Here is a 27,036-nt window from a genome sequence, read left to right on the forward strand (position 1 = left end):
GGGTCCTAATGGCTTTATGAAGTAGTCAGGTGGTCTGTTTGACTAATGAGCTTGAAGTATATATTGCCCTATCTCAAAAACTTTCTCCTAATCTGAATGATATTTACTAAACACTCATTGTTTTTGAGTAAGGGCATCTTACTGAATGGAAAACCTCTTAGAAGGATTAGTATTTCATACTGCTATCACTCTTATCTACAAAGAATAGTTTATTTCCTCCTTGTCTAAGCACAAAAAGCATCATATGGGTGGGAGAAGGAGGCACAATTATATGTATGTATGTATGTATGTATTTATTTATTTGAAACAAGGTCTTGCTCTGTTGCCCAGGCTGGAGTGCAGCAGCACCATCTCAGCTCACTGCAGCCTCTGCCTCCTGGGCTCAAGCAACCCTCCCACCTCAGCCTCCCAAGTAGCTGGGACTGCAGGCGCACACCACCACGCCTGGCTAATTTTTAAAAAATTTTTTGTAGAAATAAGGTCTCACCGTGTTGTCCAGGCTCATCCTGGGCTCAAGCAATCCACCTACCTCGGCCTCCCAAAGCGCTGGGATCACAGGTGTAAGCTACCATGCTTGGCCAAGAGGCACAATTTTGAAATAGAGAATGCCACAGTTGGGCAGCAGGAAGGTACTAAGTAGTTTTCCTAGTTGAAGCACAGACAGGAACTCTGGAAAGGATCTGAAGCCTAATTTAACCTTTTTAAAACATTTACATTATTTTTATATTAAATAACTATAATTTTAAAAGTATGAACACTGCATTTGAGAAGTTTGTTTCATAGTTTATTTTCAAATGGTTCTACATTTGTTTAATATATTGCATTTGTTAATGTCTCCTCCAAAGTGCATCTTGTAGAACACCAGAACATCCTGTTAATGATAGGCCTTTTGTCAAGAATGACAGCATGTCATTATTTTACTTTCAAAACGAGAGGATGATATAATACCAAGTTATAAGAATGAAGCACAAATTATATTTCACAAAAAGCAGATAACTTACTTCATTTGGGAACATAATTACAGTATTTCATATCTTCTCAAGTTTCACAAAAATGCCCTAAGTAATTAGCTCATATAGGCACTAATAATTTGAAAGGGTTATTACATTTTTTTCTATAGCAGTTTTGGTTACAGAACATTATTTACAATTTAATAGCATTGAAAACTTTTGTGCAATGTATTTATTTAACATTGCTTACTTAATGATTCAGGTAAAGTCAGAAGACCACTCTTGTGGACCTATTATTTTAAAATCACATTGTCTTGTTTTCTACATCATAATGAATATCATGTTTTCTCTTTCCTTGCTGAACTTCTAGAAAACCTATTCTCTAAAATGTATTGCTTCACATAAAATACATTTCAGCCTTTTCTCCCTTGACTGCTATGATGAAATAACATTCTAATAGCTTTCACAATGTGAAGTTTATAGCATTTCTGTTTTATTCATCAGGCTGCAAATCTACTCCACCCATCAAGAGTTTTCTTTAGAATAAAGATAGGACACTTTGCCAGGAGCAGGGCAAGAACTGCAATTAATAGGCAAGGATTAATGATGAAAGTGACTTACAGTAAGCAACAATTTTCAAATTGAGAAGAAGAAACTAAAATGCAAGATGGGCAAAAATTTTAAGAAAATATCCATCTGTTCCTAATTAGTTCAGATTTATTGACATGGATGAATTATATTTCTGAGGGCTGATAGTGTCTTTGCATAGGATTGCAGAGCCACTCTTGGTTATGTCTGAAGACATGCAGAGAGTAATAGGATAATGCACAAATGCCATTTCATGTATACAGTGCCCATAAATTACAACCAATGAACTTAATTTCAATCCTAGACAAGATTTAGAATATATTATGAAAGGGTGATTTGTGAGGATATATTAGACAAAACATAACCCTTGGGCCAATTTTATGTTCACTGAGAGCAAGCATGTAGGCTTTGCCATTTCATTTTATGTAGGATTACTAGATCCAGGAACCATATTAGGCATAGAATATATGGACTTTATGAAAACATTTGACAAAGTTTGTCATAATATTCCTGAAGACAGTATAAAATAAATATAGGCTGGTAACAAAGATAATTGGATAATTTAATGATCAGATTAAGAGTTGTACCTGAAATATGCTGAATAATAGAACAGTATCAACCAATGTGATATGACATGCTGTGGAGTTCTGTCCTCAACTTAGTCAATTCAGCATTTTAAAATCAGAGAGTGAGATACATAAAATGACTTATAAGGATCAACTTTGCAAAAGACATAAAGCTTAGAATTTCCTGGATACCAGTGGCAGTAACTAAGGTAATAACCAAAGGCAATAACTATGTCTAAGACATATATATCTATGTTATTTTATTCATTTTTTATTATTATACTTTAAGTTTTAGGGTACATGTGCATTCAGTTAGGAAAAGAGGAAGTCAAATTGTCCCTGTTTGCAGATGACATGATTGTATATCTAGAAAACCCCATTGTCTCAGCCCAAAATCTCCTTAACCTGATAAGCAACTTCAGCAAAGTCTCAGGATACAAAATCAATGTGCAAAAATCACAAGCATTCTTATACACCAATAACAGACAAACAGAGAGCCAAATCATGAGTGAACTCCCATTCACAATTGCTTCAAAGAGAATAAAATACCTAGGAATCCAACTTACAAGGGATGTGAAGGACCTCTTCAAGGAGAACTACAAATCACTTCTCAATGAAATAAAAGAGGATAGAAACAAATGGAAGAACATTTCATGCTCATGGGTAGGAAGAATCAATATCATGAAAATGGCCATATTGCCCAAGGTAATTTATAGATTCAATGCCATCCCCATCAAGCTACTAATGACTTTCTTCACAGAATTGGAAAAAACTACTTTAAAGTTCATATGGAACCAAAAAAGAGCCCACATTGCCAAGTCAACCCTAAGCCAAAAGAACAAAGCTGGAGGCATCACGCTACCTGACTTCAAACTATACTACAAGGCTACAGTAACCAAAACAGCATGGTACTGGTACCAAAACAGAGATATAGACCAGTGGAACAGAACAGAGCCCTCAGAAATAATGCCACATATCTACAACTATCTGATCTTTGACAAACCTGACAAAAACAAGAAATGGGGAAAGGATTCCCTATTTAATAAATGATGCTGGGAAAACTGGCCAGCCATATGTAGAAAGCTGAAACTGGATCCCTTCCTTGCACCTTATACAAAAATTAATTCAAGATGGATTAAAGACTTACATGTTAGACCTAAAACCATAAAAACCCTAGAAGAAAACCTAGGCAATACCATTCAGGACATAGGCATGGGCAAGGACTTCATGTCTAAAACACCAAAAGCAATGGCAACAAAAGACAAAATTGACAAATGGGATCTAATTAAACTAAAGATCTTCTGCACAGCAAAAGAAACCACCATCAGAGTGAACAGGCAACCTACACAATGGGAGAAAATTTTTGCAACCTACTCATCTGACAAAGGGCTAATATCCAGAATCTACAATGAACTCAGACAAATTTACAAGAAAAAAACAAACAATCCCATCAAAAAGTGGGCGAAGGATATGAACAGATGCTTCTCAAAAGAAGACATTTATGCAGCCAAAAAAACACGTGAAAAAATGCTCATCATCACTGGCCATCAGAGAAATGCAAATATCTATGTTATATACTCAAATATATGTGAGTCTAAGATAATATAAGATATATATTTTTATATATTTTATATATTTGTATATATTTACATTTACATCTGTAGTTCTGTACTTGGATCTGAAAAGCCAAATGCTCACATAATAGAATGGAAAGTATTGGTCGCAAGGAATATGGAGCTTAAGGGAGAAAAGAGAAAATAGTAGAGGAAGATTGGGCATGAATTCCAAATGGCAAGTAGGGAAGCCACAACTCAAGAGGGTCTGAAGTGAGGAACTGGAAGAGTTTGGGGTATAAGACAGTGGCTGGTTCCTTATTTTCTCTCTCTTTCTGGAGCTACAGTGTCCTCATCTCAGCTTCTGTCTCTGTGTCTACTCATTCATGTCTCAGAATTTTAGTTATGTTAGTTACTTTGTATCTTGTGCATGACATTTTCTGTCTTATGGCTGTGCCAAAGGTGACCTAAGTGCCTGAATCTTCAACAATTACAGGCCCAGTTGGCTCATACCAGCTTGGGCTTGGTTCTTCTGGGTCTGATGTCCAATCCTGGTTCACCAGTCAGCCATGGCTAGGGTAGATAGGTGGAGGGAGTCTTAGTCACATTGCCAAACATAGCAGCCAGGGCTGCTATGGATTCTCTAAAATGGAAACATAGATAGAAAGGAAATAATTGGTATATTCAGTATAATGAGACGTTGGTTTGCACTGCAGTATTTTTAAAATCAGGGGTTTTATTTAACATAAAGCCAGTTATAGTATATAAAAGCAAAATATAATTGCTAAAAATATTAAAGACCAATCAGATCTAAGGTTGCATTAGAACGTATTACAATGATATTAGTAATGAGATATTAGAATGAGAGAAGTTTGAGTCTTCTCTCATTCTGTTTTAGTGAGACCAGCCACACTAAACTATTGCATCTGGGCACCATACTTTGAAACACATGTAGAACACTGGAAAAAATTTAGAGAAATCTAGAATGAGGAAGAAATTCAGCTGAAGAAATTGTAAGTGTTGACCTAGAGAAGAGAAGACATGGAGTGTTCCTGATAGCTGTCTTCAAATATTAGAAAGACCTTCATGTGAAAGGGGCCTGGGGATGTCCCACATGGTTTCTAAGAGGACTGGAACTGGTGCACACTTCAGGGAGGCGGATTTGTGATGAGCCTAAGAAAGGATTTCCTGAGAGACACAACTGGCAGAAGATGGAACAGAATGCTTTAAAAAGTAGTTTCCCATCATTTGGGATGTTAAAATAAAGGATAGGCAACAACATATTTAAGTTGAAGTAGATTAATGGAATTGAATCCATCTAGAGCTTGAACCAGATTATCTTTATGATTACTTTTATAAATCTATACATTTTATATAGTGGCAAGTAGTTGATATAATCATTAATCTATATCCCATAATACTGTATTATGGTTTTTAATTTAAAATTTTTACTATTAAAGTTTAAAGGAGCCAAATTTTACTTTATAAAAATGTGTTTTTTTTTCTTCCAGTTGACATTTGTGTAATGACATTGGTAGGCAGATATGGTGGCATTACTATTAGTTACAGCAACAGTTTCTATAGTTTCAAGGGAGGTTACTTTAAGAGTAAATCTTGGATAATCCAAGAGTTAATTTCAAATTTAGTGCCCTGGAGCAAGCATTTTATGAAGCCATCTCTTATCCTTTATGAATAGGAAAACAAGCAGAGGCTACTGAGAAATATTTATACCTGAAACAGAAAAAAGAACTATCTCCCTTCTGACTTGGCTAAAATTTCATTTTTCACTGGCCCTATGCTGGCCAAAAGTCACACAACACTTTATCTGAAGGAAGGAAGAGGATCTATCCAATATACATGTGATAGATAAATATAATACAGATGGTTAAAGGCACAGGTGCTGGTTTTAAATAGACCTGAGTTTTAATCCCAGCTTCTCCGCATATCAGCTGGTTATTTAACTTCAGTAGTCTCAGTTTTTTAAAAAAAGTCTGTAAAATGGGTATAACCGTACCTACTAAGAACTGATTTGGGGAGAAGAGATTAGGTTCAAAGTATTTTTCCTATTTGTAGATTTATGACAGAATGTTAAATTTCTGTAAAAATCATAAAATGCTGAAACTGAACAGAAACAGAATTCATTTGGTGAAATGTCATAATTTTACAGATGAGGAAAATAAGATCTGAAAAAGCCAGGAGAACAGAGCAGTTTGCAATTAAAGAACAGTGATTTCCTCCCACTTCGTGGAAAATTCATCTTAAAACCGGAATTATAAAGATTATAAATTTTTCACTATTTTTGGTTTTATTTTATGGAAAATATTTCAAGAGTAAATTTTTCTTAGAGATACCATGGAGAAACAATTGCTCTGAAAGATCTTTTTCTAATCCCAAGATTTTGTGTCAGACTCAATATGCCAGTTTAAAATTTTTTATACAAGTGTTAGCAATGTCGTAATTATTGCTCCAAGGCATAGTATACTATGTATTTACTTCATTCAACCAGCATGGCTACAATATCTTCAGTTGAACTTGTTTTTTCAGAATTAAAAAAATTTGGTAAGTGTATGTTCTGTTTCCTAGATGTTGCCTGAAGAAAAAGTTTGTAAGTACTGTGGAGTCAGCTATCTAATTCTTCATGAATTTAAGGCTATGGAAGAAAAAGTGAAAGCAATGGAAAAAGAGATGAAATTTTATCAAGGAAGTGTAGATCGTGAAAAGAGACTTCAAGAAAAGCTGCATTCTCTTAGCCAAGAACTTGAACAGTACAAAATTGACAACAAATCCAAAACAGAAAGGTTGAGTATGTTTTTCTTTTCTATCATTTATTTAGTTGAAAGACAGCTACAGGAAATAAATACACTTTGAATGTTTTTCTAAAATTTCTCTACATCAGGTATAGTTTATACTTTAATGCATTTGTTTCTTAATTATATTAATAATTACTAAATATAATTATTATAGTTTGCTTTCTTTTGAGGCATATATTTACTATCTGAAAAATTAGAAACCAATTAATTTAGTAACCACCAGCTGAGACATTCAAATTTTTTTCCCAGGTATATATATCTTACGTTTTATTATTAGGAAAATTTATCTATCAAAAATCAGATTAATTTTGGTAGTTTTTCATACATTTATTTTTAAATGGCTTTGGATTTTTAGATTTGTAGAATAAGGCTTTCATGTTTTGAAAAAGATGCCAAGACGTTCAAATTAGTGTGTGATTTTAAATTATTGGAATTGGAAATAAATTAAAGAATGGGTTTCTAATTTTGTAGAATCTAATCAGCAATCTAGCCTGCCTAAAGACACTTCAGTGAGCCTACACAGGAGAGTTTTTGCTGGTGTTTTATAGTTTTTCCTATGAATGAAAATTTCTTGATTTAAAGTATTGACAGTTGATGTTAAGAGACCTTGAGTTAATGAATTTAATGAATAAATTTAATGAATAACATGTCTGTGTAGTGGAAACTTGCTTAAGTCTCTTTGGATTAAATACTTTTATTAAATTTTGTTACAGAATTTTATATAAAAATATATAATTGTATTAAATGCCAGTTGAGCCAGATATTTCTTAGTTTTTTACCAAAAAAAAGTTGTTATAGTTTATTTAATTTCACATCTGAATAATAAAGTATTTTATGATATTTTCATGGAAAAGCTTAAAAATTTGAAGTATTATTTACAATTTTTAATTTGGAGGGGTTTTACCTGTCAGGGATTCTTTTGTTTGGTGTATTCACACCTTACTTTCTTTAATAAAATGTATTATACATGTAAGACATAAACACATGAAGTAAAAGAAGTATAGAGAATAAATAATAAGGCAAGAAAGTCTTTGTACCCTGCTGATTATACTATTACTGGTACCCAGCTGATTGTACTGATTGTATTCTTACTGGTACCCTGCTGATTGTACTGATTGTATTCTTACTGGAGGTAAAAATCACTTTTTTTTTTTTTTTTTTTTTTTTGTGACAGAGTCTTGCTCTGTCACCAAGGCTGGAGTGCAGTGTCGTGATCTCAGCTCACTGCAGCCTCTGCCTTCCAGGTTCAAGCAATTTTCCTGCGTCAGCCTCACAAGTAGCTGGGATTACAGCTACACACCACCATGCACGGCTAATTTTTTGATATTTTTAGTAGAGACAGGGTTTCACCATGTTGGCCAGGCTGGTCTCAAACTCCTAACCTCAGGTGATCTGCCCACCTGGGCCTCCCAAACTGTTGGCATTATAGGCGTGAGCCACTGTGCCCAGCCAAAAATCACTTTTAATGATTTGGTGTATGTCTTGGTAGATCCTTTATTGTACCTTTACCTTTATTACAAATGTATTTTCTTTTCTCTTTTCTTTCTTTCCTTTTTTTTTTTTGAGACAGGGTCTTTCTCTGTTGCCCAGGCTGGTGTGAAATGGCACTATACACGGCTCACTGTAGCCTTGACCTTCCGGACTCAAGCTATCCTGTCACCTTAGCCTCCCGAGTAGCTGGGACCACAGGTGCACACCACCATGCCTGGCTAATTTTTGTATTTTGTAGTTTTTTTTTTTCTAGAGATGCTGTTTTGCTATGTTGCCTATGTTGGTCTCGAACTCCTGGGCTCAAGTAATCTGCCTGCCTTGGCCTCCCAAAGTGCTGGGATTATAGGCATGAGCCACGTGCCCAGCCTTATTTTCTTAATATATGTAGTTTATATCTTTATCTTTTAATAGACTAGTTTTAACATTAGCAGTATATCAAACATATTGTTGTGCTGCTGACATTTGCCACTTAACTATATATATTGGAAATTGTTCCATGTTAATGTATGTAGATCTACCTTGTTCTTAACTACACCAACATTTTTGTTACCAAGAATATGCTATAATTTACTTAATCAATTTTCTTTTCAACATTTATATTATTTCCAATTTTTGTTATTACATGTAGTATTTGTATTTATGTTCTTGTGAACATATGTTGTTCCAAAGGATAAATTTCTAGAAGTGGAACTACTGAAAGAAAGCAAATGCCAGTTTAAAATTTTGATGGGTATTATACCAAGTAGTCCCTTGAGAAATTAGCATTAACTTACATTTGGCCAATAGTTGATGAAGTGACCACTTTCCTACATTTTGTTAATATTAGGTTTTTCTTAATTTTTTTCAATCTCTTGAGTGAAAAATGTTACCTCGTGGTTATTTAATTAGTATTTGTTTTTTGCCAATGAAGCTGAACATTTGTTTGTGTATTAGACATTTATATTGATTACCTATACACATATATTGACCATGTTATTGGGTTATTTGCTTATTTTTGTTTATTTGTAGGTGCTTTTAATATAATATTGGCATTATACTGTGTTTATATATGTTGTTAATATTTTCTCATGGTTGCTTGTCCTTTCACTTCATTGTATTTTTTTGCTGTATCTTTTAAAAATTTTAATAATATCCTGTGCCAGGTTCTGGTTGGTTAAGAGTTTTGTGTCAAGTTCTTTTAGTTGCAAACAATGGAAACTTATCTGACACGAACCTAAACACAAAAGAGAATTTATTGGAAGAGTATGAGGTGATAGCTCATTGAAAGAAAGGAAAAACTCAAGAACCCTGGCTTTGGAAATGGACTAGAAACAGAGCTTGTTCAGGGATCTGGGAAATCTGGGGTAAATTCACTCAACTTTTTTTTCCTTGCATCATTCCCTTCAAGATTCAAATCCCAGAAGAGTCTCACTGGCTTTACTTCTTTTATGTGACCACCCTCCAATTCCACCCCCTTAGCCTGATGAAGGGGGGAACCTTGATTGATAGGTCTATGAAGACTTCATACAATGAAAGCAAAGGTATTCACTAAAGAGAAGTTAGAGTACTGTTATCAGAAGAAGAGGGAATAGACTCACGCAAGTAGAAACAACAACATATGTTTAAAACTTATAGTATTAGAATTAGCTTTTTAATCTATTTAGTATTAATTTTGTATATAATTTGAGGTAGATTTCCAATTTCATGTTTGTTGTTTCTCAGATGTCTGGCTGTTGGCCCAATATCACTTATTAAATTCTTCATCCTCTCTCCCTTGACTTGAAATGCCACCTATTAATTTTTCTTCTAGCGTATTTCTGGACGGTCTGTTTTGTGTTATTGATTTATTGTCTATCATTGAGTCAGGGCCACACTTTTAACTACTTTAGCTTTATAATATGTTTTTGATATTTTGTAGGACAAGTGTTTGGTTTGCCTTTCAGGTTACCCTGGCTTTTTAGTATATTTTCTTTTCTGGACGAACTCTAGAATCAGCTTTTCCGATTCCATAAAACATGCTGTGTTATGATTTAGACTGGGATTGCATTTACTTTCTAGAGCAGTTATATTATCTCGATAATTGACATCTTTATAATCTTAAGGCTTCTTATCCAGGAACATGGATTCCCCATTTATTCAGATGTTCTTTAAATCCTTCAATACAATTTTATAATTTTTAAATACATCGTGTATTAGTTTAATCCTTGGACATATTTTTGTTGCTTTTGGGAAAGATGTCTTTTTATTACATTTTTTTGAATGCTATTTATTTCTGTAGCTAGCTTCCTCATTGAATTCTTTTATTAGTTGTTTGAATTTTTTAATTTTCTTGAATATTTGTTATATATGTTTATAACACACACATACCTGTAAAACAGTCACATCATATGCAAATAGTGCCTGTCATCTTTTTATTTCCAATAGTTATACCCTTTTCCTCCTTTTTCTTGTCTTATTAAATTAGATTGGACCTGTAGAACAGTGTTGAATAATAAACTTGTAGAATGCATCTTTATATTTATTTCTAATGTAATGCAATCCTGCCTAGTATGTTTCTGTTTTTAAAAGGACATCTGCTATAGGTTTCTTAAAGATACCTTTTATCAATTTAAGGAATTCTTCCTTTTATTTCTAGTTCTTTAAGTTTATTTAAAATCAGATGACTATTGAATTTTAATAAATGCTTTTCTATCTTCTATTGAGATGATCATATGATTTGTTTTCCTTTAATCTGTTAATATAGTAAATCATACTAATGGATTTTCTAATATGAAGCTAAACTTACATTTTTGATAGAAAGCCATTTTGATCATGTTACGTATTTCAGGGTTCCCAAAGTCTCATGTATTTGCTTGCCTTCTTCATGATTCTTGCCACTGCTATAAGTACTCTGCACTATTCTATTTTTCTGTGAATTATCCCTTAAATATATGTATTTCTATGCATATAGTAAGTGGAAAAACACTTATCACTTGCCATAAATAGAAGATTTAAAAAATAAGTATATAGCTACAGGTTGAGTAACTTTTATCTTTGGATAAAAGCATTGGATAAAAGTACTTTGGTCCAGAAGTGTTTTGGATTTTGAAATATTTTCAAAATACATACCAGTTGAGCATCTAATCTGAAAATCCAAAATGTGAAATGCACTAATGAATGTTTCCTTTGAAAATTATGTTGACACTCAAGAAGTTTTGGATTTTGGATAATTTCTTTATTAAAATCAAAGTGTTTTGTTTCTGTAACACTAACAAAATTGCCCATGCTAATGGTGATATGTGAAATAGTTTATGAAGAGCATTGTTCTTTTGAAATAATGCTGCTAATATTTTACATAGCTATTTGCGTCTGTGTTCACAGGTGAGGTTGGCCTATAGTTTTCTTGTGGCATACAGACTAGGTTATACTTATCTTTTCTAATAAGTTAAGAAGGCTTTTGGCTTTGGTGTGCACCAGACATCTTAAATAGCACATGAATTTTTTGTTCTTTGAAGATTTGGTAGATCTTCATTAAAAATGTATTTTGTAGGGGGAGGGTTGGTTGAATTTTGATGACCTATTATGTTTCCTCTGTAATTATTGGTTTACTTATGGATTTTTTACCTCTTTTTGAGTCAGTTTTGGAAGTGTTTTCTTGGAAAATCAAGCATTTCACTTGCATTTCAAATTTCTGGATGTTTAGTATTATAGAGTATCCTCTTATTTAGAAGCTTTCCTCTGTATCTGTTATGACTCCATTTCTCTTTCCTTGAGTAGTTTATTTGCGTTTGATTGAGAAAGAGACAAGAAAGAGAGTGAAGGACAGAGAGAGAGAGAGCTTTTTTTCCTAGGAAAATAAACAAATTTGTCTATTTTGGCCTTTTTAAAGAACCAGATTTTTGTTTAAATTAATCAAATATGTTCCTTTTTAAAATTTATATTTATCAGGCCAGGCGCGGTGGCTCACGCTTGTAATCCCAGCACTTTGGGAGGCCGAGACAGGCAGATCACCTGAGGTCAGGAGTTTGAGACCAGCCTGGCCAACATGGTGAAACCCCGTTCTCTACTAAAAATACAAAAATTAGCTGGGTGTGGTGGAAGACATCTGTAACCCCAGACACTTGGGAGGCTGAGGTGGGAGAATCGCTTGAACCTGGGAGGTGGAGGCTGCAGTGAGCCGAGAATCATGCCACTACATTCCAGCCTGGATGGCAGAGCGAGACCCTGTCTCAAAAAAAAAAAAAAAAAATCTGTTTTCTATCCTTTCTTTAATGTTTAGTTTTCTTTCTACTTACTTGAGTTGAAGTCTTTGGTTAATTTATTTTCAGTCTCTTTTTCTAATAAATAAATTTAAAGCTATTAAGTTTTCCTGTGGCAACAGTCTTTGGCAACAACAAACTTTTTGATAATAGTATTTTATTTTCATTTACTTCTAAATAAGATGAAGTTTAGTTTTTATTTGCTTTTTAATCCAAGAAATACTTGGAGGAATGTTTTTAAATTTCTAAATGGATAGGTTGTTTTTTGACTATCCTTTTATCTATGTCTATTTTTATTCCAGGTTGAAGAGAATATAACCTATTTGGGAGACCGTATTAAGAGTTTAATAAACAATAAGTTTTGGAAATATTCTGTAGTTACTCAAAAGTGTACATAGTCTCCTTTTAATGGATATAACTTTGTAATAGATCCATTAAATTACACTGGTTAATTGCAGTATTCAAATTACATATATTTGTACTTAGTTTTGTCAGTTTCACTTGAAAAATGATAAGGGAATATTGAAGTCCTTCAAAATGAATATGGATTTATCAGTTTCTGTCTATGTCAAAATTAAGTTCATGGGGGTATATAAAACCATCTTTTTAGATTTTATATGTTTTGCTGATATAGAATATCCTTCTTGACCTTAAATTTTTCTAACACTGGATTAAAAAAATTATAGTTTGTATCTTTACACTTCACAACGTTTTATACTGACTTTTTAACAAATTAATAAACTTTATTTTTTAGAGCAGTTTTAAGTTCACAGCAAAATTGAGTGGATCAGAAAGTTTTCATATAACACAGTCCCCACACTCACACAGCCTCCTCTTCACACCACAATGATACATTTGTTATAGTTGATAAAGCTACATTGACACATCATCATCATCCCAAATATATAGTTTACATTACGTTTTACTCTTGGTATTATACATTCTAAGGGGTTTGACAAATGTATAAAGACATTATCCACCATTGCAGAATACAGAATAGTTTCATTAATACAGAATAGTTTCATTCATACAGAACAGTTTCACTACCCTAAAAATACTCTGTGTTCTACTTATGCATCCTCCTTCCCCGTTAACACTTAGCAACCACTGATCTATACTGTTGGTGTTTGGCTGGAGTACGGCAAGTACTGCCAAGAATACTTTCTGTCATTCAGTCACCCTTCCCCTACTCAGCTAGGTGGATTAAATTTTTCTTGGAGCTCTTTTTTGTCTATGGCTGTTGGTGGTTCTGGGTTGGAGACTTCGACAGCACCTTGTCTGGGATATATGAGAGTCAATAAGAAAACTCATGGATTTTATTGCCTTGGTATTTATCAAGTCCGAAGGTCCCTAGGCCATCTGCCTTCTTTCCACTTTTCAGAGTCTTTCTATGCTGCTTATGTTATGTTCGGGGTGTTTCAGTTGTAAGGAGGATCTGGGAACAATGGGACTACTCCATCTTGGTGGAAATCTTGGGTTGGTTTTTTAGTCAAATTAAATATTATTTTGAGTAACTTAGAATATTTCTAAAGAAGGTAATTGGTTAAATTCTCACAAATATCAGTAGATTACAGAAGTCAGTAGTTACACAATAAAATGCATCTCTAAGTGGCTGTTAAACATTTCCTCTTCAGTTTCTCCTCCGCTTATGCCAAATTGAGACTGTCATGTGGAGAGTTAATCCACAGTAATGTAGGCTTGTTTATGAGGGACAGCACTTAAGAGTTCGGTTGGCAATTATCTCATGTTAGGTGAGCCAGATAAGTCAGTTTAGAGCAGTCAGCCCAAGGATAGGGCTACCTAAGGTAGGTACCAAAGGTCCAGAGATCCAGACTGAGTCTACAGTTTGAGACCAAATTAATGCAGAGAGTGTGTCTGAATTTACAAATGGAGAGAATTGGAGGAAATAAGTGTACCTGGCTGGAGTAGAGGGTGATGGGGCAAACAAGGCAGCTTTTGTTAGTCATTTTCCTTCCTTGCTAAACCTACCTACCTCCAACCTAGACTGGCTGGATCAGTTAGGAATACAATCTATAGTAAGTGGCTTAAATGGACAAAGGTTTATTTCTTGAAGGAAGAAGAAAGGGTATGGGCAGCTTAGTGATGTCACCAGGAACTCAATCCCTTTCTATCTCTCATTCTGTCTTGCTCAGTAAGTAGGCTTTTAGCCTTATACTGGTCTTATGATTTCATCATGGCTTCTGTATCACCAGATATCATGTTTAATTTCTAGGCAGGAATATGAAGGGGGAAGCAGTCAGGGGAAATGCTTATATTAGGAGATCAAAAACTTTTTCAGAAAGTTTCACCTTATGTGCTATTGGTCATGACTGCAGAGGAGTCTGAGGCATTGGCTGCAGGGTGTTGGCTTGTTGCTTCCTGAAACAATATCAGGTACTGTTGTAAGGAAGAAAAGGAAACAGACACTATCAGGGCCTGCCTCACTGGGCCATTAGATTTTTCTCCAGAGTATAATGTGTATGCTTAATTTCATTCACTGAGAGGAAGAAAAATAGTATCTTGAGAAAATAAATACATCAACAACTCCCTTTATAAAAGGTCTTATCTTTTATACATGTCTCATCCAGGCTTCTGCTTTTTGTACTTTTGCAGCACTTTTTGGTGTTTATGGAAGTAGTGTAAAGGGCATTTATGCTAAAAATGATTGGGACAACTTAATTTTGAATAATCAAGATTTGATAGAACAAAGAACTGATGCAGAACTGTAGTTCTTATGGGATGGGGCCTACTTCCTAGGGAACTATTTTCAATCTCTGGGGCCTTTTCAATCCCTCACATCTCTCTTGAGATTCTGATTTGCCCATTTTGGGGTGTGGTAAGAATTCCTACAGTAAAATGAGGACTGTTACTGATGGAAGTCTGCTTGGGCATAGGAACATGGGAAAGGCAGGGAAAAAACGTTGAGTACCATTGTGGAAAAACATTCATTTTCAGGCCATTGAAAAATGGCTCCAGTAGACACAGGGCCATTAAAAAATAATTTTAAATCTAGAAGTTCATATCACTTTTTTTGTCTAGATGTGTAAGTATGAATTTATTACATTGATGTTTGTGCTATGCATTACTTGAACTTTGAGGAACCTAAACAAGCTTATTTATAACATGTAGATCTAAGATCAGCTAATCTTTTTATTATCTTTTCATTTTTCTCCCACACCAACACTAGATTGTGCTCCAGACCAAAGTCCTTAGGTATAGAACATACTATTTTCTTTTATTTCTTCTCTCCATGAACATGTGCAAACAGTAAATAGAAGTTGACAGGGGTTTTTACTATCAGTATAAATAATGTTTACCTGGGTTTCCTTGTTACTAAAACTGGCAAGGTTAAAGAGATTGATACTTATTTAACAATATTGATAGACCTATGTATATGTGTATATCTTTTATTACCAGCATAACTTTGAAAGCCCTTCGTGTATAATTATGATGTTGCTGTAGCAACATGGTTACCAAAATAAGGTACATTTTTTTTCTGCTTTGTCTTTTTAAGGCATTCTTTTTCTCCCAAAGCTTTTTAATCAGCAGTTTCAGGCCCAGCCACTTATTATTTTTTCTATTCACCTTTCCACTTTGAATTTCCCTTGCTTAAAATTAGTTACTTATTATTATAACAAATAAAATAATTTTTATTGGCATAAACATAGTGGGAATTATAAGAATGAATTCGAAGGGAGGCAGTGTATGATGTGGTATAGAGTACAGGCTCTGCTAATACCTAATCCTATGACTTTGCCCCTTAATCTTTCTGTGCTTTGGTTTCATCATCTGTAAAATGGACGGAGAAAGAGCTGCTTCACAGGGATGATACACACATTACTCATTGCTTGGTAGGAATTCAGTTACCTTTCACTTCCCTCACCTTCCTTTTTCCTTTTTCTATGTTTGTTAACTAAGGTTAGTAGCATACTGTTTCTCCCTATAAACATTGTCACTTTCATACCTAACTTGGATATCTAAATATTGACTAATTTCACAAAGGAAGTTCTTGAGTCTAGGAAATATCCTAATCTCAGCTCTCCCACAATTAATTCCAATTTAATTGGTGTTTTAACCAAAGTCTAGCCCAGCTTTGGTTAAGTTCGCAGCCGGTGGAGTTCCACTCAGTGGAGTAGAGATTTTATGGAAAGCATAACTGTAGAACTTAATTATTACTTTTATTTATTATATCCCCTTTCTTTGCAGAAAGGATATGCAGTGATTTAAAAGGGCATAATAAAATTATCAACATAGGAGGGAAAAGGGAGGGAGACGTTGGACAAAAAACAAGAATTTGAATATGTCGACCTCAAGGGTCAAAAGTTAAGTTTGGCTTTCCAGCAAATCCTTTTACCTGAGCTCCAGGGATTTTCATACTCATAGCCTTTTTGTAGGAGTAGGAATAAGGCAGGGGTTGGGGAGGTGGGTTTTTTGTTTGCTTATTTAAGCAAGGCTGACTTTAACATTGGAAGAAATCCCCAGGAAGTCTAAGCGAGATAATTCAGTAGAGTAATTAGGCTCTGGTGAGAACTTCTACTATCTGTGTATCTGAAGCCAGTCCTAATAGGCAATAGGTGGCCACCCCGTCTAATGCTGGACTCCATGCTGCTCTTCATCAAGGAGGCAGCAAAATTATTTTAAAGAATGCACCTCTGGCTTGTCTTTCAGTTAGCTTTTCTCTTGACCCTCATCCCTCCACCCATCTCCTTACTGCCTCACTTACCATAACGCCTGAACAAACAAGTCAGATCATGTTATTTTAGCTTAAGAACAGGTTAATTTTTATTTGTTGCAGGTTTGAATTAATGCACCTTCACAAAAGTGGACAATTTGAATTTTTCTCAGATTCTTTACATATTATTTACATATTTATAACTGGGAACAGCTTTCAAATTGGAGAAAAATGAATTAACTCATTGACTAAAGTATGATCCACAACTCTTATATCCATTTTACAGATGGCTAAGCAAACACAAAGAGATTAAATAATGATGCTCACACAGCTGATCAAATTCTTTATCTTTCTCTTTTATATGATATCACTATTCAGGTTAGTTGAAGAAACCAAACAAATACAGCTATGGTAAGTTATGGTAGAGTGAAGAGACTGTCATTGGAGGCACCTATTTTAAAAGGACAAGGCACACCAAATCTTGAGCCTTGTCTTCTTGGACTGAAGAAACCCAGTTGTACAAAAAGCCATCCAGTGTTAGCAACTCAACCAGGGTTGGTTGAGTTGACAGAACTGTTAGGGAAGCTATCCCTAGAAACATTGTGAAGAACTCAGCAAGAAATCTTCATGTGTTATTTGCCACATTTTAAACTAAAGTGAAGATGTAGTGAGATGGAAAATTATTTTAATCAACTAAAGTGGCTCCACATTTGAAGTCACTAATTTAGACATCCCATTCTTTGTGTACTTCTCATTGTCCAACTTGATCAGTTTCATTGCGTCCTGAAGTCTGCTGATGCCTCTACCTTCTCTCTTTCTTTTTCTGTTGTCACTTTCTTTCTTATCCAGCTTAGATGCCATGTTTGTTATGTCAGTCATCCTTTGACAGTATCTTCAAGTCCCATTTACATTATCCTTCCATCGTATCAGCTGGAAAAACTCCTAATGTGGATGACTCCAGTTAACCACACTCTTCATACAAGTACCCTGGCTGCCAGGAATCTGGCAGTGCCTATTATTTCCTCGTTTTATGGTATTTTCATCTTTTCTTTCTCTACAAACTCCTTCTTTTCCAACAGTATTTCCTCAGGACTCCAAATAAACAAATGAAATCTTCACTTAAACTGAGGCATCTTCCAGATACTTTCTTAGCTCCCCCTTTTCTTGCCATTCTTACTGAATAAATTACCTGGACTTACTGCTTTCATTTTCTCACATGCATATATCCCTCAGTTCACTGTAATTTGGTTTCATTCATCAACATTTCAAAAAAAGTTCTAATTCAGATCATCATTTATTTCCATGTTACTAAATCCAAAAAGTATGCTAGTTATTTGTCTTTCTTGACTTCTTAATAGCATTTGACACAGTATTTTACCCCTTTTATCTAAAACACTCTTATTTCATATCATATTCTCATTTTTTATGTGGCCTTTCATGATACCTATTGCTTTTTATTGTCCTTTTTTGGCCTCTCCACTTCCTCCTGCTATGTAAATACTGGAGACTTCCAGGGACCTGTCCACAGCTCTCTTCCATTTTTATTCTACATTCTCTCTTCAGTTTCCAGTTGCTTTTATTCAGCCCTGAAGCTTTAGTTACCCTCTCTTGAGGTAGGCTTCTGAATCACCACTTGCACTTCTAACATTTCTTGTGAGCCCCAGACTAATCTCTTCAGCTCTCTTTTTAACATCTTCACCTGGCTGTATCACAAGCTTTAATGTGTCCCCAAGTGAACTGTTTATCCTCTTTCTACTTGTGTTCTACCTGCTACTCTTGTGTTCCTAACTTTAGCATATGTTACCCCCATCATCACTCTGCAGCATTAAGGTAGTGTTGAGGCTGGGTTTTGAATCAGATTGCCTGGATTTGAATCCTGGCTGCACCAGTTATTAGTAGCTTGGACTTGGGCAAATTACTTAAATGCCCTTTGCCTCAGTTTTCTAGTCTGTAAAACGGGAATACTAATACTACCTTTGTCATGGAGTTACTCTGAGTATTAAATGGGGGTGTGTGAGATTTGTATCTTATATAGATTTAATAAAACATATGAATGGCTTATATAATGTAATTATGATTATCATCCATCCTGAGCATTATCTTTGATTCTTCCCATATCACCTTCCTCTTAAATATTTCTTGAATCTGTCCATATGTTTATCAATTCATTCAACCACGATGCTAGTCCATTCTTTGTTTGCACATCTACAGTCATCCCTCTATCATCTCCCTCTATCATTGCCCATTTTCAATTCATTCTTTATTCTGCAACCTGGTGGTTGTGTCAGAATGCATATTTGATCATTGTATCTGTCATAGGTTCATGTTTTCTTTAGAATAAGGCTCAAAATCTTCTCTATGGTCTGAGAGTCTGGGTGACCTCTCACCCTTGGTTATCCCTCGAGCCTCACTCTCTTTCAGTCACCTTACACGTTTTTTCCTGTTTTCTAAGAGATTATCTACTTCTTTTTGCTACCTCTTTCTGCTAAGAGATTATATACCTCTTTTTTCAGGGTTTAGCTGAGATGCCAGATCATCAGGAAGACATTTGCTGACCTCTAATGGGGTTCCCATGAACATCCTTTGTTTTCCCTTTTATAATGCTCCTTAAATACAATTATTTGTTTAATGTTTGCATTCCTGGCTAAGTTCCATGAAAACCAGTCTGATTCTTTGCTTTATCTATTTCTATCACCTAACAGTGTCTGGCACATAGTAATGCTCTCAAAATATTTGTTGAATTAATTCATTTATGAGCAGATATGAAAAACGTATGCTTGCTATGTTTGAGGAATTCTCCTTTGTCTGATATTTGTAGGCAGAAGAGCTTAACTTTCTCTCTAGATGCTGGAAAGGCCAGACACTTACTTTCTAAACCTACCTTGAAATTAAGGATGACTTTCTGTGAAGGTTCTGTTCAATGAGATGTGAGTGAAAATCTGCTGGGGGGTTCTGGGAAATTTTGCACCACCTCTTTCCTTTGTTTCTTCCTTTTTCCTCTTCCTCCCCAAAATGCAGAGGACAGGCTGGAGGCAGATTGGTCTTCTTGCAATGGTGAGATTACTGTGAGGATGAGCATGACATTTTAAGAAAGACAGAAGAATTCTTAGTCGTTGATGATATCTTGGTGTCCTTGTCCCCACCCTGAAATGCCTCTCTCCAGACCTCTTACTATGTGAAAATAATTAACCACTATATCGTTAATATACTATAGTCTGGTTTCTGTTATATGTAGCCAAATGCAATCCCTGATAGGTGCATGTAGTGCTTACATAACTTATTTGGTACCTATTGATATGATGTTTTATGATTGTAAATCAGTGGGCAGATGGCTGGATGGCTGGCTGGCTGGATGGATGGGTAGGTGGATGGGTGGATGGATAGATGGGTGAGTAGGTAGATGGATGGATGGACAGCAACCAGTAGATTATAAACTACTGGAAAAGAGAGACCGTATTTTATATTTTTTGTATTCCCCTTCCCCACACCCAACTCTATGCACCCTGCATACTGTCCTTCATATAGTAAATGCCCAACAAGTGTTTCTTGATGATGATGTTGATTGAGGTTTGAAAAGGATATTTCCTTAAGAAGGGCTCTGAGTTACAGGTTTCATTTGGATTCTAAAAATGAAATCTCCTAAGAGAGAAGCCTCTGGACTTAATTTAAAGAGATACATAAACATTTGGGTCAATATTTGCTGTATCTCTGGTAATTTAGAAAATGAAATACTTTATAAAAGTCAGAATAAAGGATGTATCTTGGCAAATGGCCTTGCCAATGATGTTCAAAACAAAAGAACCATTATTAAATGAAAGGATGTCAAGTAGTATAATTCTCTGCTGAGATAGCTTATTATAAGTAAGACGACTATAAAATTTGTAGTCCAAATTGGAAACTTTTTGAGTAAAAGGAGGTGCTATCAGTAATTATTCTTGAACAATAAACTCAATCTGGAACTGTCCTAGGACTTATGATTAATTTTAAGAAAATAACTCATTTCTATATGTCAAAAAAGTCTACAATTTTGATATAGATTTGAGTCATTAGGTTGGTGCAAAAGTAACTGAGGTTTTTGCCAATAGTATGAAACTCTCTGAGGCCATTCCCTTTTCAGTATTTTGTACATGTTTTTCCCCCTGGCCAAAATAAACTACCCATTTGATTTTTCTCTTTGTGGTTAAATTATTTTTATACTTCAAGATTCTTCTTTTTTATATTGTTACCTCCGGTTACTCCAGTCCACAATAATCTCTTTTTGATATTGGATAGCACTTATATTTTTAAACATGCAGCAAATAGGTATATACTGTCTTATTTTGTATTTTGTGTGTGTGTTTGTGTTCTTAAGTCTCAGCTTTTAAATATGTCACTATCTTTCAGAATAGAAACTATATCTTTATCTGCCCTTGTATTACCCACAGGATCTTGCATAATGGTAGGTGCATCGTAGGTGTTAAATAATATGCTGAGTTATTGAGATATGTGAGATAAGTCATGAAGCCAAGATTTTTATACTATATTTCATTTTTATTTTACCACTGTACATAACATAGGAATATTTATATACCTACTGGAAGGTACTGAGCTTATGTGTTGTTGTATATTGTAAATGATTTCCATGTCAAGAAAGGAGAAATGGCAACAGTGTAACTCTTGCTGATACCTCTGTTTTCCATTAACAATAATGCATGTATGCCTATAGATGACTGTCTGCCATGAATTGCATCATTTATACTGGCTTTTAATATGCCTCCCGGCATTTCAGGTTCTGTTCTCAGCAGGCAACCTTACTCACACTGAATTCTCTAATATTTCTACTCAGATAAATGCTTAGAGAACTGTGAAAGGCATTTCTTCCTTTGCATCTATGTGGTTTCACGTAGTTGGAAAGCGGTTTCTTCAAATATAATTTAAAATATGAATCATAATAATTTCCTAGAATGTATATTCCATTTTTCTATTAACGGATGTGAATTTTTCTGTATTGAGTTTTGTCACCTATATATGATTACTCCCGGGCTTTGTCACTGTCTGCCCTCAGAAGATGAGGAATGTATCTTACCTACTGCCAGAGAACAGGCACCCTGTGGAATGCCTGTGCCTGAGCTCACAAAGAGAAGCAAAGAAACAGGTAGAGGAAAAATGAAAAATTACTAATACTTTCCTTACACAAATTGGGGGTAGAGTGTGACAAGGAAGCAGGGAAGAAGGGAGAAGAGATGCATAGAATGTGTAATGATCAAGTCACGGTATTTGTGGTATCCATCACCTTGAGTTTTTATAATTTCTATAAATTTATAATTTCTAAGTTGGGAATATTTCAAATTATCTCTTCTAGCTACTTTAAATATATAATACATTGTTATTAACTAGAGTCACCTAACTCTGCTATCAAACATTGAAACTTATACCTTCTATCTAATGTATGTTTGTACCCATTTACCAGCCTCTTTTCATTCCCCCTCCCACCATACAGCATTCTCAGCCTCTGGTATCTATCAGTTTTCTCTCTACTTCCATGAGATCGACTTTTTTTGCTACCTTCTGCATATAAGTAAGAACATGCAGCATTTAACTTTCTGTTCCTGGTTTATTTCACTTAACATAATGACCTCCAGTTCCATCCATGTTGCTGCAAATGGCATGATTTCATTCTTTTTTATGTCTGAATAGTATTTCATTGTGTATGTATATCACACATTTTCTTTATCCATTCTTCCATTGATGGACAGTTAGGTTGATTCCATATCTTTGCTATTATGAGTAATTCTCCAATAAACATTCAAGTACAAGTATCCCTTTGATATACTGATTTCTTTTCCTTTGGATAAATGTCCTGTAGTGGGATTGCTAGATTGTATGGCAGTACTGTTTTTAGTGTTTTGAGAAATCTCCATACTGTTTTCTATAGTGGCTGTACTAATTTACATTCCTATCAACAATGTATAAGGGCTCCCTTTTCTCTGCATCCTCACCAGCATCTGTTATTATTTTCTCTTTTTAATAAAGTAGCTGTTCTAACTGGGGTAAGATGATATCTCGTGGTTTTGGTTGGTATTTCCCTGGTGATTAGTAGTGATGAACATTTTTTCTTATACCTGTTATCTATTTGTATGTCTTCCTTAGAAAAATGCCTTTGCATGTCCTTTGCCCACTTTTTAATTGAATTATTTGGTTTTTTACTGCTAAGGGTTTTTTTTTCTAATTTCTTGTATATTGTGGATATTACTCCCTTGTCAGACAAATGGATTGCAGGTATTTTCTCCCATTCAGCAAATTGTCTCTTCATTCTGTTGATTGTTTCCTTTGCTGTGCAGAGGCTTGTTAGTTTAATATAGTCCCATTTGTCTATTTCTGTTTTTGTTTTCTGTGCTTTTGAGGTCTTAGCTATAAAGTCTCTGCCTAGATCAATGTCCTGAATTATTTTACCTATGTTTTCTCATGGTAGTTTTATAGTTTGGGGTCTTACACTTAAGTCTTTAGTCCATCCTGAGTTGATTTCTGTATATGGTGAGAGAGGGGTCCAATTTCATTCTCCTGGATGTGGATACCCAATTTTCCCGGTACCATTTATTGAAGAGGGTGTCCTTTTCCCAGTGTGTGTTCTTGGTGCCTTTGTTGAAAATCCTCTGGCTGGAAATATGTCAGTTTATTTCTGGATTTTCTATGCTGTTCTCTTGGTCTATGTGTCTGTTTTTATGCCAATTGCATGTTGTTTTAATTACTGTAGCCTTGTAATATATTTTGAAGTCAGATGGTGTGGTGCTTCCAGCTTTGTTCTTTTTGCTCAGGATTGCTTTGGCTTTTTGAACTCCCTTGGTTCCACGCAAATTTTAAGATTTTTTTCTATCTCTGTGAAAAATGACATTGATATTTGAAAGGGACTGCATTGAATCTGTAGATTGCTTTGGTCATTGCTATGGTCATTTTAATGATACTAATTTTTCTTATTCATGAGCATACAATGTCTTTTCATTTCTTTTTGTCGTCTTTATTTCATCAGTGTTTTGTTCACCTTGTAAAGGTTTTTCACCTCCTTGGTTAAATTTATTTTTAGGTATTTTTTGGAGCTATTGTAAACAGAATTGGCTTCTTGATTTCTTTTTCAGCTAATCCATTATTGGTATATAGAAACATTACTGATTTTTGTATGTTAATTTATGTCCTGCAATTTAACTATTTTTATCAGATCTAAGAGTTTTTTTCATAGAGTCTTTAGGTTTTTCTAGATATTTATATCATCAGCAAAGAGGACAATTTGACTCTTTTCCCAATTTGAATGCCTTTTATTCCTTTCTCTTGCCTGATGCTCTGGCTAGGATATACAGTACTGAGTGGAATAGGAGTAGTGAAAGTGTGTATCCTTGTCTTATTCCACTTCTTAGGGGAAAGGCTTTCAGCTCTTCCCCATTCAGAATGATGTTAGCTGTGAGTTTGTCATATATGGCCTTTATGTTGAGATATGTTCCTTCTATGCCTAGTTGGTTGAGTTTTTATCATGAAGGGACATTGAACTTTATCAAATACTTTTTCTGCATTAATTGAGATAATCATATGTTTTATGTCCTTCATTCTTTTTTTTATTATTATTATTATACTTTAAGTTTTAGGGTACATGTGCACAATGTGCAGGTTAGTTACATATGTATACATGTGCCATGCTGGTGTGCTGCACCCACTAACACGTCATCTGGCATTAGGTATATATCCCAATGCTATCTCTCCCCCCTCCCCCCAACCCACAACAGTCCCCAGAGTGTGATGTTCCCCTTCTTGTGTCCATGTGTTCTCATTGTTCAATTCCCATCTATGAGTGAGAATATGCGGTGTTTGGTTTTTTGTTCTTGCGATAGTTTACTGAGAATGATGATTTCCAATTTCATCCATGTCCCTACAAAGGACATGAACTCATCATTTTTTATGGCTGCATAGTATTCCATAGTGTATATGTGCCACATTTTCTTAATCCAGTCTATCATTGTTGGACATTTGGCTTTGTTCCAAGTCTTTGCTATTCTGAATAATGCCGCAATAAACATACGCGTGCATGTGTCTTTATAGCAGCATGATTTATAGTCCTTTGGGTATATACCCAGTAATGGGATGGCTGGGTCAAATGGTATTTCTAGTTCTAGATCCCTGAGGAGTCGCCACACTGACTTCCACAGTGGTTGAACTAGTTTACAGTCCCACCAACAGTGTAAAAGTGTTCCTATTTCTCCACATCCTCTCCAGCACCTGTTGTTTCCTGACTTTTTAATGATTGCCATTCTAACTGGTGTGAGATGGTATCTCATTGTCGTTTTGATTTGCATTTCTCTGATGGCCAGTCCTTCATTCTTTTGATGTGATATATCACATTTATTGATTTGTGTATGTTGAACCATCCTTGCATCCCTGGGATAAATTCCATTTGATTATGATGTATTTTTTTGATGTGTGGTTGGATTTGGTTTGCTACTATTTTGTTGAGAATTTTTGCATTTATGTTCATCAGGGATATTGGCTTATAATTTTATTTTTAGTTGTGTCCTTGTCTGGCTGTTTTTTTTATCAGGGTAATGTTGGTCTCATAGAATGAGGCAGGGAGAATTCCCTCCTCTTCAGTTTTTGAGAATATAGTTTGAGAGTATTGGTATTAGTTCTTCTTTGAAAGTTAGGAATAGTTCAGCAGTGAAACTGTCTGGTCCTGGACTTGTCTTTGTTGGCAGACTTTTTTTTTTTTACAGATTTAGTCTCATTGCTTATTATTGGTCTGTTCAGATTTTCCATTTCTTCCTAATTCAATTTTGGGAGGTTGTATGTGTTCTGAAATTTTTTCATTCCCTCTAGGTGTTCTAGTTTGTTGGTGTTTATAGTTGTTTATATTAGTCTTTTGTGTTTCTGTGGTATCAGTTGTAACATCTTCTTTTTCATACCTGATTTTATTTATCTGAGTTTTCTCATACTCTGTTTTGGATTAGTCTAGCAAGTGGTTTGTCAATTTTGTTTATCTTGTCAAAATAAACTTTTCATTTCATTGATCCTTTTTATTTTATTTTATTTTTGTAGTCTCTATTTTGTTGAGTTCTGCTCCAATCTTTACTATTTCATTCCTTCTACTTATTTGGGATTTGGTTTGCTCTTGCTTTTCTAGTTCTTTCAGATGTATAGCTAGATTATCGATTTGAAATCTGTCTATTGTTTGATATAGGTGTTTATTGCTAAAAGCTTCCCTCTTAGCACTGCTTTTGCTAAATTCCATAGGTTTTTGGAATGTTGTATTTCAAATTTTGTTTGTTTCAAAGAAGTTTTTTATTTCCTCCTTAATTTTTTCTTTAACCCAAAGTTGTTCAGGAGCATGTTGTTTAATTTCCATGTATTTGTATAGTTTCCAAAGTTCCCCTTGTTGTTGATTTTTAGTTTTATTACATTGTGGTTTGAGATGATACTTGATATAATTTTGATTTTTAAAAATTTATTGAGAATTATTTTGTGTCTTAACATATAGTCTATCCTGGAGAATATTCTATGTGCTGGTGAGAAGAATGTGTATTCTATAGCTGTTAGAGGAAATGTTCTGTATATATCTGTTAGGTCCCTTTAGTTTAATGTACAGCTTAAATATAATGGTTTTTTGTTAATTTTCTGTTTCATGCTGAAAGTAGGGTGTTGAAGTCCTCAGTAATTAACATATTGGAGTCTGTCTCACCTTTTCAATCTAAAATTTGCTTTATATACCTGGGTGCTCTGGTGTTGGTTTAGAATTGTTATATGCTGTTGATGAATTGATCCCTTTATCATTATATAATGACCTTTTTTGTGTCTTTTTACTGTTTTTGACTTAAAGTCTGTTTTATCTGATATAAGTATAGCTACTCCTGTTCACTTTTGGTTTCCCTTTGCATGGAATATCTTTTTGCATCTCTTTCTTTTCATTCTATATGTCTTTACAGGTGAGATGATTTTCTGGTAAGCAGCATATAATTGTGTCATGTTTTTTTAATCCATTCAGCCAGTCCATATTTTTTAAAGGGAACATTTACTCTGTTTATATTCAAAGTTATTATTGATATGCAAAGGCATATTCTTGTCATTGATTTCTGGTTGGTTTGTATATCCTTTGTTCCCCTCTTTCTCCCTTCTTGTTTATCACTGCGGTTTGGTGATATTCTGTAATAATCTTTGAGTTTGTATCTCTTCTTCA

The 27,036-nt window shown here is 34.7% G+C and overlaps 1 protein-coding gene across 2 annotated transcripts in view; it reads left to right on the plus strand.

Annotated features, from left to right (window-relative positions):
• Positions 1-27,036, plus strand: part of LEKR1 (leucine, glutamate and lysine rich 1) — a 219,777-nt gene that overhangs the window by 20,175 nt on the left and 172,566 nt on the right. For both annotated transcript variants that reach the window (NM_001004316.3, NM_001193283.2), the window contains exon 3: positions 6,241-6,455. In NM_001004316.3, coding sequence (NP_001004316.2) covers positions 6,241-6,455 — 215 coding nt within the window. The remainder of the gene's footprint in view (positions 1-6,240; positions 6,456-27,036) is intronic.

The sequence above is a fragment of the Homo sapiens genome, chromosome 3 (genome assembly GCF_000001405.40).
Source record: "Homo sapiens chromosome 3, GRCh38.p14 Primary Assembly".
Lineage (NCBI taxonomy): Eukaryota > Metazoa > Chordata > Mammalia > Primates > Hominidae > Homo > Homo sapiens.